The sequence below is a fragment of the Homo sapiens genome, chromosome 7 (genome assembly GCF_000001405.40).
Source record: "Homo sapiens chromosome 7, GRCh38.p14 Primary Assembly".
Lineage (NCBI taxonomy): Eukaryota > Metazoa > Chordata > Mammalia > Primates > Hominidae > Homo > Homo sapiens.
In genome coordinates this window covers 128615405-128630784 of record NC_000007.14, presented here as the reverse complement: position 1 = coordinate 128630784, position 15380 = coordinate 128615405, and the positions used below count along the sequence as shown (strand labels likewise).

General features: G+C 44.2%; 1 pseudogene, besides 1 other annotated feature; it reads right to left on the bottom strand.

The window, feature by feature from the left end:
• RNU6-177P (RNA, U6 small nuclear 177, pseudogene) lies at nt 3510–3613 on the bottom strand (annotated as a pseudogene).
• Nucleotides 15184–15380: a silencer, noted in NCBI's record as "fragment chr7:128255459-128255655 (GRCh37/hg19 assembly coordinates)". NCBI's record gives its function as "represses an EF-1alpha promoter that drives an FKBP-Casp9 reporter gene in an ReSE screen in HepG2 liver carcinoma cells {active_cell/tissue: HepG2}" and the evidence as "EXISTENCE:reporter gene assay evidence [ECO:0000049][PMID:32094911]".

Sequence of the window (15380 nt, the reverse complement as noted above, 5' to 3'; positions counted from 1 at the left end):
GGGCCGGGTGGAACAGAGCCATATTTCTCTTCTTTCAAAAGCAAATAGGAGAAATATTGCTGAATTCTTTTTCTCAGCAAAGAACATCCCTGAGAAAGAGAATGCACCCCTAAGGGGAGGCCTCTGAAATGGCCGCTTTGGGGACGGCTGTCTTTTATAGTCATAGATAAGGGATGAAATAAGCCCTGGGCTCGCGTGGCGCTCCCAGGCTTATCAGGACGAGGAAATTCCCGCCTAATAAATTTTGGTCAGATGGGTTGTCTGCTCTCAACCCCTTTCTCCTGATAAGATGTTATCAATGACAATGCGTGCCCGAAACTTCATTAGCAATTTTAATTTCGCCCTGGTCCTGTGGTCCTGTGATCTTGCCCTGCCTCCATTTGCCTTGTGATATTTTATTACCTTGTGAAGCATGTGATCTCTGTGACCCACACCCTATTCGTACACTCCCTCCCCTTTTGAAAATCACTAATAAAAACTTGTTGGTTTTGCGGCTTGGGGGGCATCACGGAACCTGCTGACATGTGATGTCTCCCCTGGACACCCAGTTTTAAAATTTCTCTCTTTTGTACTCTTTCCTTTTATTTCTCAGACCGGCCGACACTCAGGGAAAATAGAAAAGAACCTACATGAAATATTGGGGTGAATTTCCCCCGATATCACATGGGCTCTTCTCTCACCTGTCTACCTGCTTAACTGCATAGGAGAGGCAATGCATGGTGCTCATTAACACAGCAAGCATTAAAGTCAGACCAGACTAACATTTGACTCAGTCTTAATATTCAGGTGAGCTTGGGCAAATCGCTCATTAACCCCAAGTCTTCATCATTTTGTGCATATAATGGGGATAACTGTGGCACCCACCTGTTTTTGTGAGAATCAATGAAATATTATGCTTGATGTTACTGTGATCATGATACTATCTGACAAGGGCAGTGATGCATGATAACATCAAAAAATTAGGAACTGTAATGAGGTCTCTTGGGCAAAATTCCATACAAGCAAATGACCGTCTCTCCAAAGCATTCCTGCCACACTTAATTCACCATTCCCTGAACAAAATGTGCCATCTTCATTGTTCAGGTCTGTATAGTGCTGGTTTACCTGACTGGGCAGCTCACTCCATCCCATCCCAGCCCAATCCCCATCCCTCCACCTCCCCCTTCCCTCCCCACTCTCATACAACTCTTCCTCATCTTACAGGACTTGGCTTCAATGTCACCTTAACTGGAAGCTTCTCTCACTCTCCAGAAGAGCTTCCCATTGCACTTGATGCATGCACTATTATTTGACCATTTTTGAGTTACAGTCCAAGTCTTTTTGTACCTGAATAACATGTTTCCCAGTCAGTCTCTCTTCCTGGATTCAGAAGTCTTTCATGGTAGGTCCAGCTAGAAGTAACAAAAAGACATTCTAAGAAAAAAAAAAAAAAAAAAAAGAGGGATGACACAGACAGACATCAGCACTTAAAAGTTTTAAATGGTATGTGAAAAACAAAATTTAAGCGCTTCTAGGAGAAACGTAGGAGAGAAGGTGTTACTGGAAATATGATAGAAGGTTAATTTTTATTTTATTTTATTTTATTTTTAGAGAAAGGGTCTTGCTCTATCGCCTAGGCTGGACTGCAGTGGTGCAATCACAGTTAACTGCAGCCTCAACCTCCAGGGCTTAAGCAATATTCCCATCTAATTTTTATTTTGTTTAAGAAATGCAGTCTTGCTCTTAGCAAAGCTAAAGTGCAATGGTGTGATCATAGCTTACTGCAGCCTCAACCTTCTAGACTCAAGTGATCCTCCAGTCTTAGCCTCCCCAGTAGCTGGGACTACAGGTGTGCACTGCAACGTGTAGCTCATTTTTTTTTTTTTTAATTTTTAGTACAGACAAAGTGTCGCTATGTTGACCAGGTTGGTGGTGATCTCCTACACTCAGGCAGTTCTCTCACCTCAGTCTTCCAAAGTGCTGGGATTTACAGGTATGAGCTGCCACACCTGGCTGAGGGGGTTAATTTTTAATTATATAAAGAGCTCAAAGCAAATATCAGAAGGAGCCTAAATGCCTCCAGCAGTTGACTGGTACTGGTAAATTGTGATACATCCATATAATAAAATATCATGCAACCATGAAAAGGATTAAGATAGATCAATAGGTATTGGCACAAATGTCCATGAAATATGAAAATGTGAAACGATGTTCAATCACCATGTTACATATCTTGAAGGATATGGCCCATTTTCTCAATAGCAATTATTTCCTGAGATAAGATTATGGGTCTAAAGAGTGAAGGACATTTTTCACTTATTTAAAAGTATTTACTATTTTTATAATTTAATAAAAGATTAAACAGATCATCGAATTAGTAAAAGACAAAGTAACTCTATAAATAAATGGAAAAGACACAGATACCCCAGGCATGTTGGCTTATGCTTATAATACCAGTACTTTGGGAGGGGGTGGTGGGGGCATTGCTTGAGGCCAGGAGTTCCAGACCAGCCTAAGAAACAAAGCAAGACCTCGTCTCTAGTAAAAATAAAAAAATAAAAATAATTGGCCAGGCATAGTGGCATGTACCTATAGTCCCAATTACTGAGGTGGAAGGATCACCTGAGCCTAGGAGGTCAAGGCTGCAGTGAGTTGAGACTGTGCCACTACACTCAAGCCTAGGAGACACAGCGAGACTTCATCTCAAAAAAAAAAAAAAAAAGGACAATAAAGAAATAAAGCTAATAAGCTAACATAAGGAAAGATAAAATATATGACAAATAGGCTGGGCGCATAGCTCACAGCTGTAATCAAGCACTTTGGGAGGCCGAGGCGGGTAGATCACGAGGTCAGGAGTTCGAGACCAGCCTGATCAACATGGTGAAACCCCATTTCTACTAAAAATACAAAAATTAGCTGGGCATGGTGGCATGTGCCTGTAATCCCAGCTACTCAGGAGGCTGAGGCAGGAGAATTGCTTGAACCTGGGAGGCAGAGGTTGCAGTGAGCCGAGATCACAACACTGCACTCCAGCCTGGTCGACAGAGCGAGACTGCGTCTCAAAAAAAAAAAAAAAAAAAAAAAAAGGTGACAAAGTAATAATATGAGGTCTTTCATTTATCACACAGAAAATAACTTGTTAAATTATAATACCTGTGTGGGCGAAGGTACAGTGAAATGGCCATTTTCTTGTAGTATTAGTGGTGTTTAAAATGTATATAAGCCTTCCAGGATAAAGCTTGGAAATTTTTTTTAAATCATACAGACAGTGACTCATTATACTGCCTCCTCCAACTCCTGGCCTCAAGCAATCCTCCCACCTCAGCCTCCCAAAGTGCTGGAATTACAGGCTGACAGCCACCATGCCTGAAAGCTTTGCAATTTACATCAAGGGTAGTAAGAATGCTCATGCCCTGTGACTCACAGTAATCTCACTTCTGGAAATTTCATCTTTGGATATAATTCAAACTAAACAAAAGGTCATATGCACAAACACAGTGAAAATCTGGGAGTAATTTTTTTCTTTTTTAAAAAATACGGAATGCTTCACAAATTTGCACGTCATTCTTTCACAGAGGCCATGCCAATCTCTCTATTGTTCCAACTTAAGTATGTGTGCTACTGAGGCAAGCATGAGTAATTTAAGATAGAGTGGTTAAGTGAAATAAGGAAGAATTATGGAGAATTTAAAAATCTATGCTATTTATAGGCACCTAGTAACAGCTCAGTAAATATTAGCTGCTACTATTATTATTTTTATGGTAATTTCACTCAATTAAAAATTGTCATTAAAAATTACCATTGTCATGGAACATAATGTCTCCTACAGTATAATTGTACAATACAGATACAAACAGATACAATTTGTCCCTTGGTATATGGGGGGATTAGTTCCAGCTCTCCCATTTCTGTGTATACCAAAATCCATGCATACTCAAGTTTTCGAAGTCAGTCCTGTGGAATCCACATATAACACAAATGGGAAAATTAGTGAGGTGTGGTGACAAGCACCTGTAGTCCCAGCTACTTGTGAGGCTGAGGCAGGAGGATTACTTGAGCCCAGGAGGTTGAGGCTGCAGTGAGCCATAATTGCACCACTGCACTCCAGTCTGGGCAACAGAGTGAGACAGAAGGTTGACTTTTTAATAGAATTTTTCTGTTCACTTGAAGATATGGTCAGGATTGTGGCATATGAAAATTCTTCATAAAATAACTATCTAATCCAATTAATGCTGGAATTGGGAACAGCAGAAGTGTCATCTCAGAGCTACTCACAATGAAAGGTGATGTCTGGGGCTCAGGTGTGTTGAGGTCCCCATGCCTGGACTATGGGTGCTGAGTGGGATTTACTTGTCCATCCATTTTCTATATTCCAGCACTGGGAAACTAGGGTTTATCCATCTTGATAAGATGTCATTTAAATTCCACTTCGCAAGAACCACAAATGGAAGAAAGGCCATGAAACCACAGGACAGTACTTGTTCTCAAGGGAATCTTCAGCTCAGGTGGCTCTGTAAAAGAGAAATTACATTGTTGAAAAATCGTTGCAGGTCAGGTGAGGTGGCTCATACCTATAATCCCAGCCCACTGGGAGACTAAGGCAGGAGGATCCCGTGAGGCCAGGAGTTCAAGACCAGCCTGAGCAACAGAGTGAAACCTCATCTCTACAAAAAATTAGAAAATGAACTGGGTGCGGTAAAACATTTGTATAGTCCCAGCTACTCTGGAGGCTGAAATAGGAGGATCACTTGAGCCCAGGAAGTGGAAGCTGCAGTGAGCTCTGATCTCACCACTGTACTCCAGCCTGGGTGACAGAGTGAGACCCTGTCTCAAGACACACACACACACACTTAGAGGCATACTATTTCATGTGGAAGCTACCATTAAATCAATGTTAAGTGTTAATTACTTCACATAATCTTCTAATCTGACTTAAGACTGAAGACGTACCTCATGAAGCTGATTTATCAAGTTGTAAATCTTCACCTGTTGAATTCATAAGTTCACGTCTGAAAGGTGAGAATAAATACTTAATATTCACTAGGCAATATTCAGCAAAGTAATATCCACTAGTACATATTTAATATTTCATCATGAACTGTGGGTGTGAAGAGAAAAGACAGGCTGGGCACAGTGGCTCACACCTGTAATCCCAGCAGTTTGGGAGGCCGAGGCAGGCAGATCATGAGGTCGGGAGTTCGAGACCAGCCTGGCCAACATGGTAAAACCCCGTCTGTACTAAAAATACAATAATTAGCTGGGCATGGTGGCAGGCACCTGTAATCCCAGCTACTCAGCAGGCTGAGGCAGGAGAATTGCCTGAACCCAGGAGGTGGAGGTTGCAGAAACCACGATCACGCCACCGCATTCCAGCCTGGGCAAAAGAGCAAGATTCTGTCTCAATCAATCAATCAATAAAAATATAAGGAGGAAGCATTTACTGTGTATTTATATGTCTGGTATTATGTGAAGCACTTTACTATCTTATCAAATCTTCGGGACAGATCTTCAGTTCTCATGACCACAAAAGAGGATACTAAAGCTCAGACAGGAGAAGAGACATGGCCAGCCTGTGTCCCCAGGGCCTATGGTCTTACCACTAGGTTACAGTGTTTCCAGGTATCACATGTTGTGAGATTTTTGCTTTAAAATGAACCAAAAAAAAACCAAAGGCGAAAAAGGCATAAGCTATTAAAAAGTGGGAGAAACACTAAGAGAAACTTAAGCATGTAACTAAAAATATTATGGAAATGTTATTGAACTCATTAGCAAATTTAATGCTAGGTTTTCATTGAGAAGTAGGTTATATTACTCACAACGAAGAAAAATGTTCATTTTAAGTATATTAACATAAATACCATCAATATGGTTTGTCATGTTTAAATGTTCACTTAAAGCAATTCAGTTAAAATTCTGCATATCATACAATTTTATAGTTTGCTAGTAGGTTACAAGTAAATAGTCATCCAAATAAAAACATCATGTGTTTTCCACTGGTTGTTGCTCTTTTTAGGTGAGCATTTGATGTACACCAACAGAGAGAGGATAATAACAAATGGCTAATTTCTTTCATCATTATATAAAGGTGGCTACAGGATAGAATAGTATAAGGGCAATGATGAATTTGAAATCTAACATCAATTCAGTGATGCATCAAGATAAAAGTAGAGACAATAGGGGCACCTTGGTGAGTACTGAACATTTTACTTATTTATTTATTTTGAGATGGAGTTTTGCTCTTTTTGCCCAGGCTAGAGTGCAATGGTGCAACCTCGGCTCACCACAACCTCTGCCTCCTGGGTTCAAGTGATTCTCCTGCCTTGCCCTCCCGAATAGCTGGGATTACAGACATGCGCCACCACGCCCGTCTAATTTTGTATTTTTAGTAGAGACGGGTTTCTCCATGTTGGTCAGGCTGGTCTCGAACTCCCGACCTAGATATCTGCCTGCCTTGGCCTCCCAAAGTGCTGGGATTACAGGTGTAAGCCACCGCGCCCATATGAATTCCAAATTTAACAAAGTAGACTAAGAGAAACAATTCATTTAAAAAAATAATATTTGGCCAGGCATGGCAGCTCACACCTGTAATCCCAGCACTTTGGGAAGCTGAGGTGAGTGGATCAGGAGGTCAGCAGTTCAAGACCAGCCTAGCCAAGATCATGAAACCCCGTCTCTATTAAAAATACAAAAATCAGCCAGGCGTGGTGGCTGGCGCCTGTAATCCCAGCTGCTCAGGAGGCTGAGGCAGAGAACTGCTTGAACCCGGGAGGCAGAGGTTGCAGTGAGCCGAGATTGTGCCACTGCACTCCAGCCTGGGCGACAGAGTGAGACTCCGTCTCAAAAAAAATAAATAAATAATTCAATGAAATCCCTAAGATCCAGGGCTTTGCAATAAATATGTAAATAAATTTCCAATCTCCATACTGAAAGTTTAAAAGAAATGCTAACTAATAATTAAAGAAATACAACTTTTCCTCAGCTTTGCAGCAATCTAGAAACAAAGTGTGTAGACACTACAAAGCACCTTCCAAGGAGAAACGTGTAAGGATGGCATGACTCGCCGGCAGCTCTGGGCTTGTCCACGGTACCCCCATGATGAACAGTAACTCCATTGTGTAAAAGCCCATGAACATAAGATTACAGGACTTTTCCAGTTTAGACATAACATATTTTCTTTCAGACAATTCTTCAATTTGTTTACGTAGATCAGCGATACGATTATTCCATTTCTCTGAAAATCAAGCAAAAGTTGATTCTCAATAATACGTCCCTATGTCAGAGCAGCACTAACATATAATGACTTATTTCATGTATTTTACATTCTAACAGTCCATATCATTTTACTGCTTTCAAAAAAAATTTCCCTTTTTTGGTGGTTCTTAGAATTGGTTTAATGGGAGACTATTAGAGAAGCTGAAAAGCAGGAGGGCAGAAAAGTTCAATCAAATTAAACACAATAACAGGGAGGTCACAACGAGGAGGTCTCCAGGGGTCTTTTAGCAAACTTCCTAAAACACGTCTCAGCTGTGTGAAATAAGACTTTACAGCAGCCAGGTGCAGTGGTGCAGGCTGTAATCCCAGCACTTTGGCAGCAGAGGCAGGCAGATCGCTTTGAGCTCAGGGCAACATAGCCAAAACCCCCCTCCCTAGCCCCACCCCCACCCCGTCCCTACCAAAAATACAAAACAGCAGGGCATGGTGGCAGGCGCCTGTAGTCCCAGCTACTCAGGAGGCTGAGGCAGGAGAATCACTTGAACCCAGGAGGCAGACGTTGCAGTGAGCCAAGACCACGCCACTGCCAGCCTGGATGACAGAGCAAGACTCCACCTCAAAAAAACAAAAACAAAAACACAAGGTTAAGAGGGACCCCAGACCTTACAGATACAAGGTTAAGAGGGACCCCTAAGCAAAAAATGCCAACCCTTTTTCTCCCAATCATTGAAACACCAGGAGGGTGTAATAGTTTTGCAGCCTAGCTGTAGCAGGCTGATGCCCCCAAGATGCCCATATCCTAATCCCGGGAACTGGTGAACATGACCTTATATGGCAAAAGGGGCTTTGCAAATATAATGAAGTTAAGGGTCTTTGGCTTTTGGGGTTGATGTACTCACTCGGATCCTTATAAGAGCAGAGCAGGTGATGGAGAGGGTGGGAGGTGTAGTGACAGAAGCAGGAAACTCCAGTCATTCGAGACGGGCAGCACAAGCTGAGGAGTGCAGGCCACCTCCACGGCCAGGAAACGGATTCTCCCGCAGAGCCTCGGAAGCCACTGACCCTGCTCCCACCTTGACTGAGTAGGACTTACTGTAGAATTCTGGCCTTCAGACCTGTAAGGGAATGCATTTTGGTTGTTTTAAGTCACTAAGTGTGTGGTAATTTGTTGCAGCAGCCACAGGAAACTAGTATTGTAGTGGAGCCCCAAAACCCCCCTGAAGGGGCTGGGCTCAGTGGCTCATGCCTGTAATCCCGGCACTTTGGGAGGCCGAGGAGGGTGGATCACTTGAGGTCAGGAGTTCGAGACCAGCCTGGCCAACATGGCAAAATGCCATCTATACAAAAAATACAAAAATTAGCCGGGCATGGTGGCACATGCCTGTAATCTCAGCTACTCAGGTGGCTGAGACAGGAGAATTGTTTGAACCCGGGGGGCGGAGGTTGCAGTGAACTGAGATTCCACCACTGCACTCCAGCCTGGGTAACAGAGCGACGCTCCATCTCGAAAACAAAACAAAACAAAAAAAACCCACCTGAAGGTTTCCAGTTCTGCCAGCGGTCTCCCACCCAACCCCCAGAAGCAGACATTCCATTGCTGTGGGCCATGGACAGGCAGAAGGAAGTGCCTCCTCATGGCAGAGGCCTACCCAGGAGAAACCCAAGGGAAGGCACTGCCGGGCTGGCCCCTCTCTGCCAAGGCCATATTCTTTTTTTTTTTTTTTTTGAGGCCCAGTTTCACTCTGTCTCCCAGACTGGAGTGCAGGGGCACAATCTCAGCTCACTTCGACCTCTGCCTCCCCAGTTCAAGTGATTTCTCCTGCCTCAGCCTCCTGAGTAGCTGGGATTACAGGAGTGTAGCATGCCTAGCTAATTTTTGTATTTCTAGTAGAGATGGGGTTTTGCCATGTTGCCCAGGCTGGACTCGAACTCCTTGCCTCAAGTAGTCCACCTGTCTCAGCCCCCCAAAGTGCTGGGATTACAGGAGTGAGCCACTGCACCCAGCATTTGCCAAGACCTTTGATGACCGGCTTTTTCCAGGTGATCAGTCCTTGTCTGGTCTGCCTCTGCCCCACTCTTCTTCTCACCTAGTTGGAATCTCTAGCTACTTTTCAGTAGAGGAGAGTGTGTACCCTAATCTCAGCTTGGTTCAGATCTGCATTTAACTCATGGAACCTGGCTGCTCCCCAGGTCCTGAAGAAAAAAAGGGTCTCTCTGTGGGTATGATAAAGGATGGGCCTGTCCCCAGGACCCTGTGAGAGGGAAGCCCAATGTCCCACCAGGTTGGCAGGGCTGGGGAAGGGCAAGTGTTATGGTAGCCCCAAGAAAAAAAAGAGGCAGCAGAGGGAGCAGGCCAGCGCTCACATGGAACTCATGCCACTGCCTGAGTGACGGGAGGGAGGAGTGCATGCCAGTGACATCAGGGGGCAGAGAGGCGCAGTTCCAGGGCGGCTTTCCCCCTCACTTCCTGCCATGTTACTCTGATCGCCTCCAGGTGAGCCTGCCCACTTTGTGCCCAGGGGCCTGTAGAAAACCACAGCTCCCCATGGTTACAGCCCCAGGAGTGGGGCAGAGCAGGGAGGAGTCCTGGACAGAGGAGAGGCAGGGGCAGGAGGGAGTGGGCCTCAAACTCCAGGAGGGGGCCCTTCTCATGGGTCCTGCTTTCTGGCTTCTCCTTCCTTACCCCTGGGCTGATCACTCAGGGAAGAACTGAGACAAAGTTTCTCACCCTCAGGCCCAGGGGGTTTAATTACTGGGCCCTTAGGGAGGTGTGAGCCCCCTGAAAGGATGCAAGGTTTTGTTTTGTTTTGTTTTTTGAGACAGAGTTTTGCTCCTGTTGCCCAGGCTGGAGTGCAGTGGCGTGATCTCACCACACTACAACCTGCGCCTCCCGGGTTCAAGTGATTCTCCTGCCTCAGCCTCCGGAGGAGCTGGGATTACAGGTGGCTCCCACCACGCCTGGCTAATTTTTTGTATTTTTAGTAGAGACAGGGTTTCGCCATGTTGGGCAGGCTGGTCTTGAACTCCTGACCTCAGGTGATCCGACTGGCTCCGCCTCCCAAAGTTCTGGGATTACATGAGCCACTGTGCTTGGCCATGATGAAAGGTTTTGTGTGGAGAGCATGTACATGCCTTTCTGGGAAAACAGTCCACAGCTCTTATTCTCAGCAGGCTTCATGGTCAAAAAAGGTTAGAACTCTTGCTACAGAGCTGTGGAAGCAGCTAGGTGAGGGGCCTGCCAAGGGCACTCTGGGCACTACCTGGGCACTCTCGAGCCCATCATCCCCTCGGCAGGTTGCACTGCTTGGTATTTGCAGAGCTGAGGGGGTGGGGCATGTGGGGACTGTGAAATCACCCTGAGATGACCCACAGTCCTCAGCTGGGAAGTGAGCGGTGCATCTCCTGCAGCATCCTCCGTCCCTAGAGCCATGGGGCCAGGAGAACTGGCCCTTGCAGCAAGTGAAAAGCCTATTATTGACTCCCTCCCTAGCCATGTAGACAGTGAACCAAGACACTCATATCAGGTAAATGCCTTGGTCTCTGTCACCAAGGTGACCAGTAGGGCCTTCCCAGATACAGTGAAGGTCCTCACACCAAGATATGCACCTGGCCACCTGAGGAAAGAGAAAGGACTATCTGAGGGGATGGGGCTGAGCTGGGTGTGGAGTGGTCCTTGTGGGTCTTGGTGAGTGGGAGGGGGAGTAGCATGAGCCGGGCCTCGAGGCAGAAGGACAACCAGGAGACAGCCTGGAAAAAGTGCCAGACCCACAAGGGCTCAAGGCTGGCCAAAGGGGAGGTGGGATAGGCTGCAAAGTCCTGAGGTCTGAAGATTGGCCCTGGCAGGAAGAAACCAGGTAAGGTGGGGTGTTACCTACACCCTCGGGGCCAAATGCAGGTCAGAGCCAGCCAATTACCAGGCCCTTAGGGAGGTGTGAGCCCCTTGAAATGATGCAAGGTTTTTTGTTTTGTTTTGGAGACAGAGTTACGCTCTTGTCGCACAGGCTGGCACCTTTGCCCAGAGCAGGCACCAAGATTTCTGGCTCTGGGTGTGAGCTCAGTCTGGGGAAAAGCCCCAGCCCCCACCAGGACCACCTACCCCCTAGACTACTTCAGGTGCTGAGCCCAAGCCAGGGGCAGGAAGCTAGACTGATGCCTAGGGTAATCCCAACAAAGTCCCTGGTTCCCCGCAGCTATGGGGCTGATGGGGAATTACAGCCCAAACCCCAGATACTGGCTCTCAAACTAACACTGAGCCCTCAGTGCCCACAGGGAGATACAATCAGCGCACTTTCCAGATGGGGAAATGGGCTCAGAGAAGTGCAACAGCCTTGCCCAATGCCCCAGACCAGGGCTCCAGGCCCAGAGTGTTCTTTTGTCACTGTGTCCAGAGGGCAGCAGCTGCTGTGATGTACCCACCTGAGCCTGGCAGCTTTCTCCAACTTTGGAAGCCCAGGAGCATGGCCCCTGTCCACAGATGCACCTGGCATGAGGCGTGCCCAGAGGGACAGAGGCAGCTGAGTTTCGTCTCCTCCACTGGATTGTGAGGGCCTAGAAGGAGACAAGCGTCTGCTTGAGAAGGCAGTGAATAGTGAGCAAACTGAGGCAGTGCCCCTCTGGATGGATCCGCAGTGCCTGGATGGAACGTGGCTCAGACAGAGCTCAGTTCTGCAGGTCCCTGACACATGGAGAGTTCACAGCTACCAAGTGTAGGAGTCTGGATTCAAAGCCAACAGCGTGACTCCAAAGTCCTTGCCCTAGCCCCTGGACCACCCTTGCAGGCCCATCAGATGCCCAGGCCAGCAGCACAGCCGGCCAAGACCAGGGAAACTAGGGGAGCCTCAGAGCACCCCCAGGTATTCCAACCTAATCCTGGTACCCCTGCCTCTCACCACACTTCTTCCTGCTTTAACCTCAACCCCTACACAAAGCCTGGGCCACTTAATGTGGCATCAAACAGATGCCTCAATAAATCAGAGTCTAATCTTGAAAAAAAAAAGACTTAACAGATATACAATTGCACGTTAGAATGCTAAAGACCATAAACATATAAAAACTTAAAGTACATATAAATTCAATATATATCCAATCATTGTGACTATGACACAGTAGAATACTAAAATACTATTTTCAAAATGTATACAAGCTTAATGTTCTATGTATTCAAACTATTTATTCAAAATACAAATCATCAACATAATTTGCCACTAATATTCAGTCCCTTCACAGGACACATGATTCACTGGGAGTTAATAAATTAGCAGCCGGCAGGCAGTGACACACAGCAAAAATGAAAACCAAGAGGTGAAATAGTTCTGAAATAAAGGTTTTAAAGCTAACAGAAATCACTGAATTACTAAGTCATTAGCACTAATTTTGAGCCAACTAACTAATTAATATGAGATGATACAATGTCCTATACTTTGGTAAATACAGACTATGTTTAAACAATGTCTGTAACGTGACTTTCAAAATGCTCCTGGCTTTACAAAGATGTGATTAAGATGTAGTAACACATGCTAAATCATTTCCCCCTGCAGAGCATGTGGTAACTTTCATCAGTCACATTGAGAGTCCAGAAGATAAAGGAAAAGGTTGTGGATTTCGCTGAGAACTTACCAGAGTTGAACTCCCTCATTTTCCGTTCCCCAGCATTGGCGGGTTCTGGGACCGGTGGCTGTGGTGGCTCGTTGGTCTTTGTCTCTTAGAAGGTGGGGAATAATCATCATCTTGAAAAAGAAAAAATGGTCATTACTGAAGGAACCATCTTAGGTTACAGCTACCTCTGGGTCAATTCCCAACATTCAAAAGCTGAGCAGGGCTTTAAAGCTATCTTATTAATAATTATTTCTGTATTGCGAACTTCAGCATACTTTCTTCTAGTTACATTTGAAATGTTATTCTTTTGGGATGTGCTCAAGTGAATACTGCTTTTTCCTCCGTCTTGCTTCATTACTTTTTAGTTTACTTCATTTGAATCATCATTGTAAGTCTCCCCTTCTCCTCAAAAAACTTTCAAATTGCTGCCAAGAACTATGTTCTATTTTAAGGCTTTTGAGAAAAAACTTCCAATGAAGATAGCTACCTAAAGTTATACAAATATAGAAGAAACGGGATAAAATAAAGCTTAGATTGGAAAAAATATTTAAGATTATACAAAATTCAAGCATAAACAAGGGAAGCTGAGTAATTGTATGTTCAAATACTTTTAACAAGTGCAAAACATGTAGGCTTAAAGAAATAGAGCTGGCCAGGCATGGTGGTTCACGCCTGTAATCCCAGCACTTTGGGAGGCCGAGATGGGTGGATCACTTGAGGTCAGAAGTTCAAGACCAGCCTGGCCAACATGGCGAAACCCCGCAATTCCTCAGGGATCTTGAACTAGAAATACCATTTGACCCAGCAATCCCATTACTGGGTATATACCCAAAGGATTATAAATCATGCTGCTATAAAGACACATGCACATGTATGTTTATTGTGGCACTATTCACAATAGCAAAGACTTGGAACCAATCCAAATGTTCAACAATGATAGACTGGATTAAGAAAATGTGGCACATATATACCATGGAACACTATGCAGCCATAAAAAATGATGAGTTCATGTCCTTTGTAGGGACATGGATGAAGCTGGAAACCATCATTCGCAGCAAACTATCGCAAGGACAAAAAAACCAAACACCGCATGTTCTCACTCATAGGTGGGAATTGAACAATGAGAACACATGGACACAGGAAAGGGAACATCACACACCGGGGCCTGTTGTGGGGTGGGGGGAGTGGGGAGGCATAGCATTAGGAGATACACCTAACGTTAAATGACGAGTTGATGGATGCAGCACACCAACATGGCACATGTGTACATATGTAACTAACCTGCATGTTGTACACATATACCCTAAAACTTAAAGTATAAAAAAAAAAAAATACAAAAATTGGCTGGGCATGGTGGCACACGCCTGTAAACCCAGCTACTCAGGAGGCTGAGGCAGGAGAATCGCTTGAATCTGGGAGGCGAAGGCTACAGTGCGCTGAGATCATGCCACTGCACTCCAGCCTGGACGAGACTCAGCCTCAAAAAAAAAAACTTCTAATAGTTACTAATACCTATTAACAGAGGTAAGTGATAATCAACCAATGAATATAATAAACAGGACATCAGCCAGTTAAGTAATCATATACAGGTATATGACAACTTTAATTTTTTAATGCACAAAGCATTAATTATCACATTATTATATACATAAGTTATTCTAAATGCCATCTCTGAAACAAAAATGCAACTATTGTTAATGATTCTAATAGTAATAGGATACTCACTTCAATTGATAGAATGAATATAAGAATTTAGGAGAGCAATACCCCAAATAAATTCAACTAGGACAAGCTGTCTCTGTTCAATATCACACTCAAAGCAATGCACAACAACAAAGCGTATCCCAAATTAACACTCTGGATGCTTGGTCTGGTGTCCACGCAAGGAAAAAATTCTAATTGTCAAATCATGTTCCTAAAAAGCTCTAATTTTAAATATTTTCATCTCAAGTAAGGAATAAGAAGCCACACAATGACACACATTGAGTATCTTGGGATACAGAGTTTAGACCAACATTATTCACTGACCTTTTCTATAAGGAGTTTCTTGCTCATTGTCACACATCTATTTAATTGTTCCTTGTATTTCTCTAGCATCTTTTGCTGTTCATCAATCTGCCGTCTCAAATCACAGTTGGCCTTCAATGAGAAAAAAATTTTTAATTAGCTCCAAGGAAGAAGATTAATGGAAAAGCAGTTTCTAGGGAGAGAAAAAAAAAATCATTTCTATATGTTGTTTTATCAAAAGCAAAATTAAAGTTCAAACAGGTAAGAAGTAACTATGTCTTAGAAAAAGTAAATAATTCATTCCTTTATTCTCTCATAACATATCATCTATTTATAAATGATAAACTGAATTACTAACTTGGGCATCTTTTTCTACTGATCATATTTTGCTCCTGCCAATAACCAGTTACAGCTACTCTTGTCATCACAAACACCTAAGCTATCACAAAATAATAATTTAAAAAATGTTAAAGCTGGGAATCGTGGTTCATGCGTGCAATCCTAGCACTTTGGGAGGCCAAAGCAGGCAGATGACTTGAGGTCGGGAGTTCAAGACCAGCCTGGCCTGCGTGGTCAAACCCCATCTC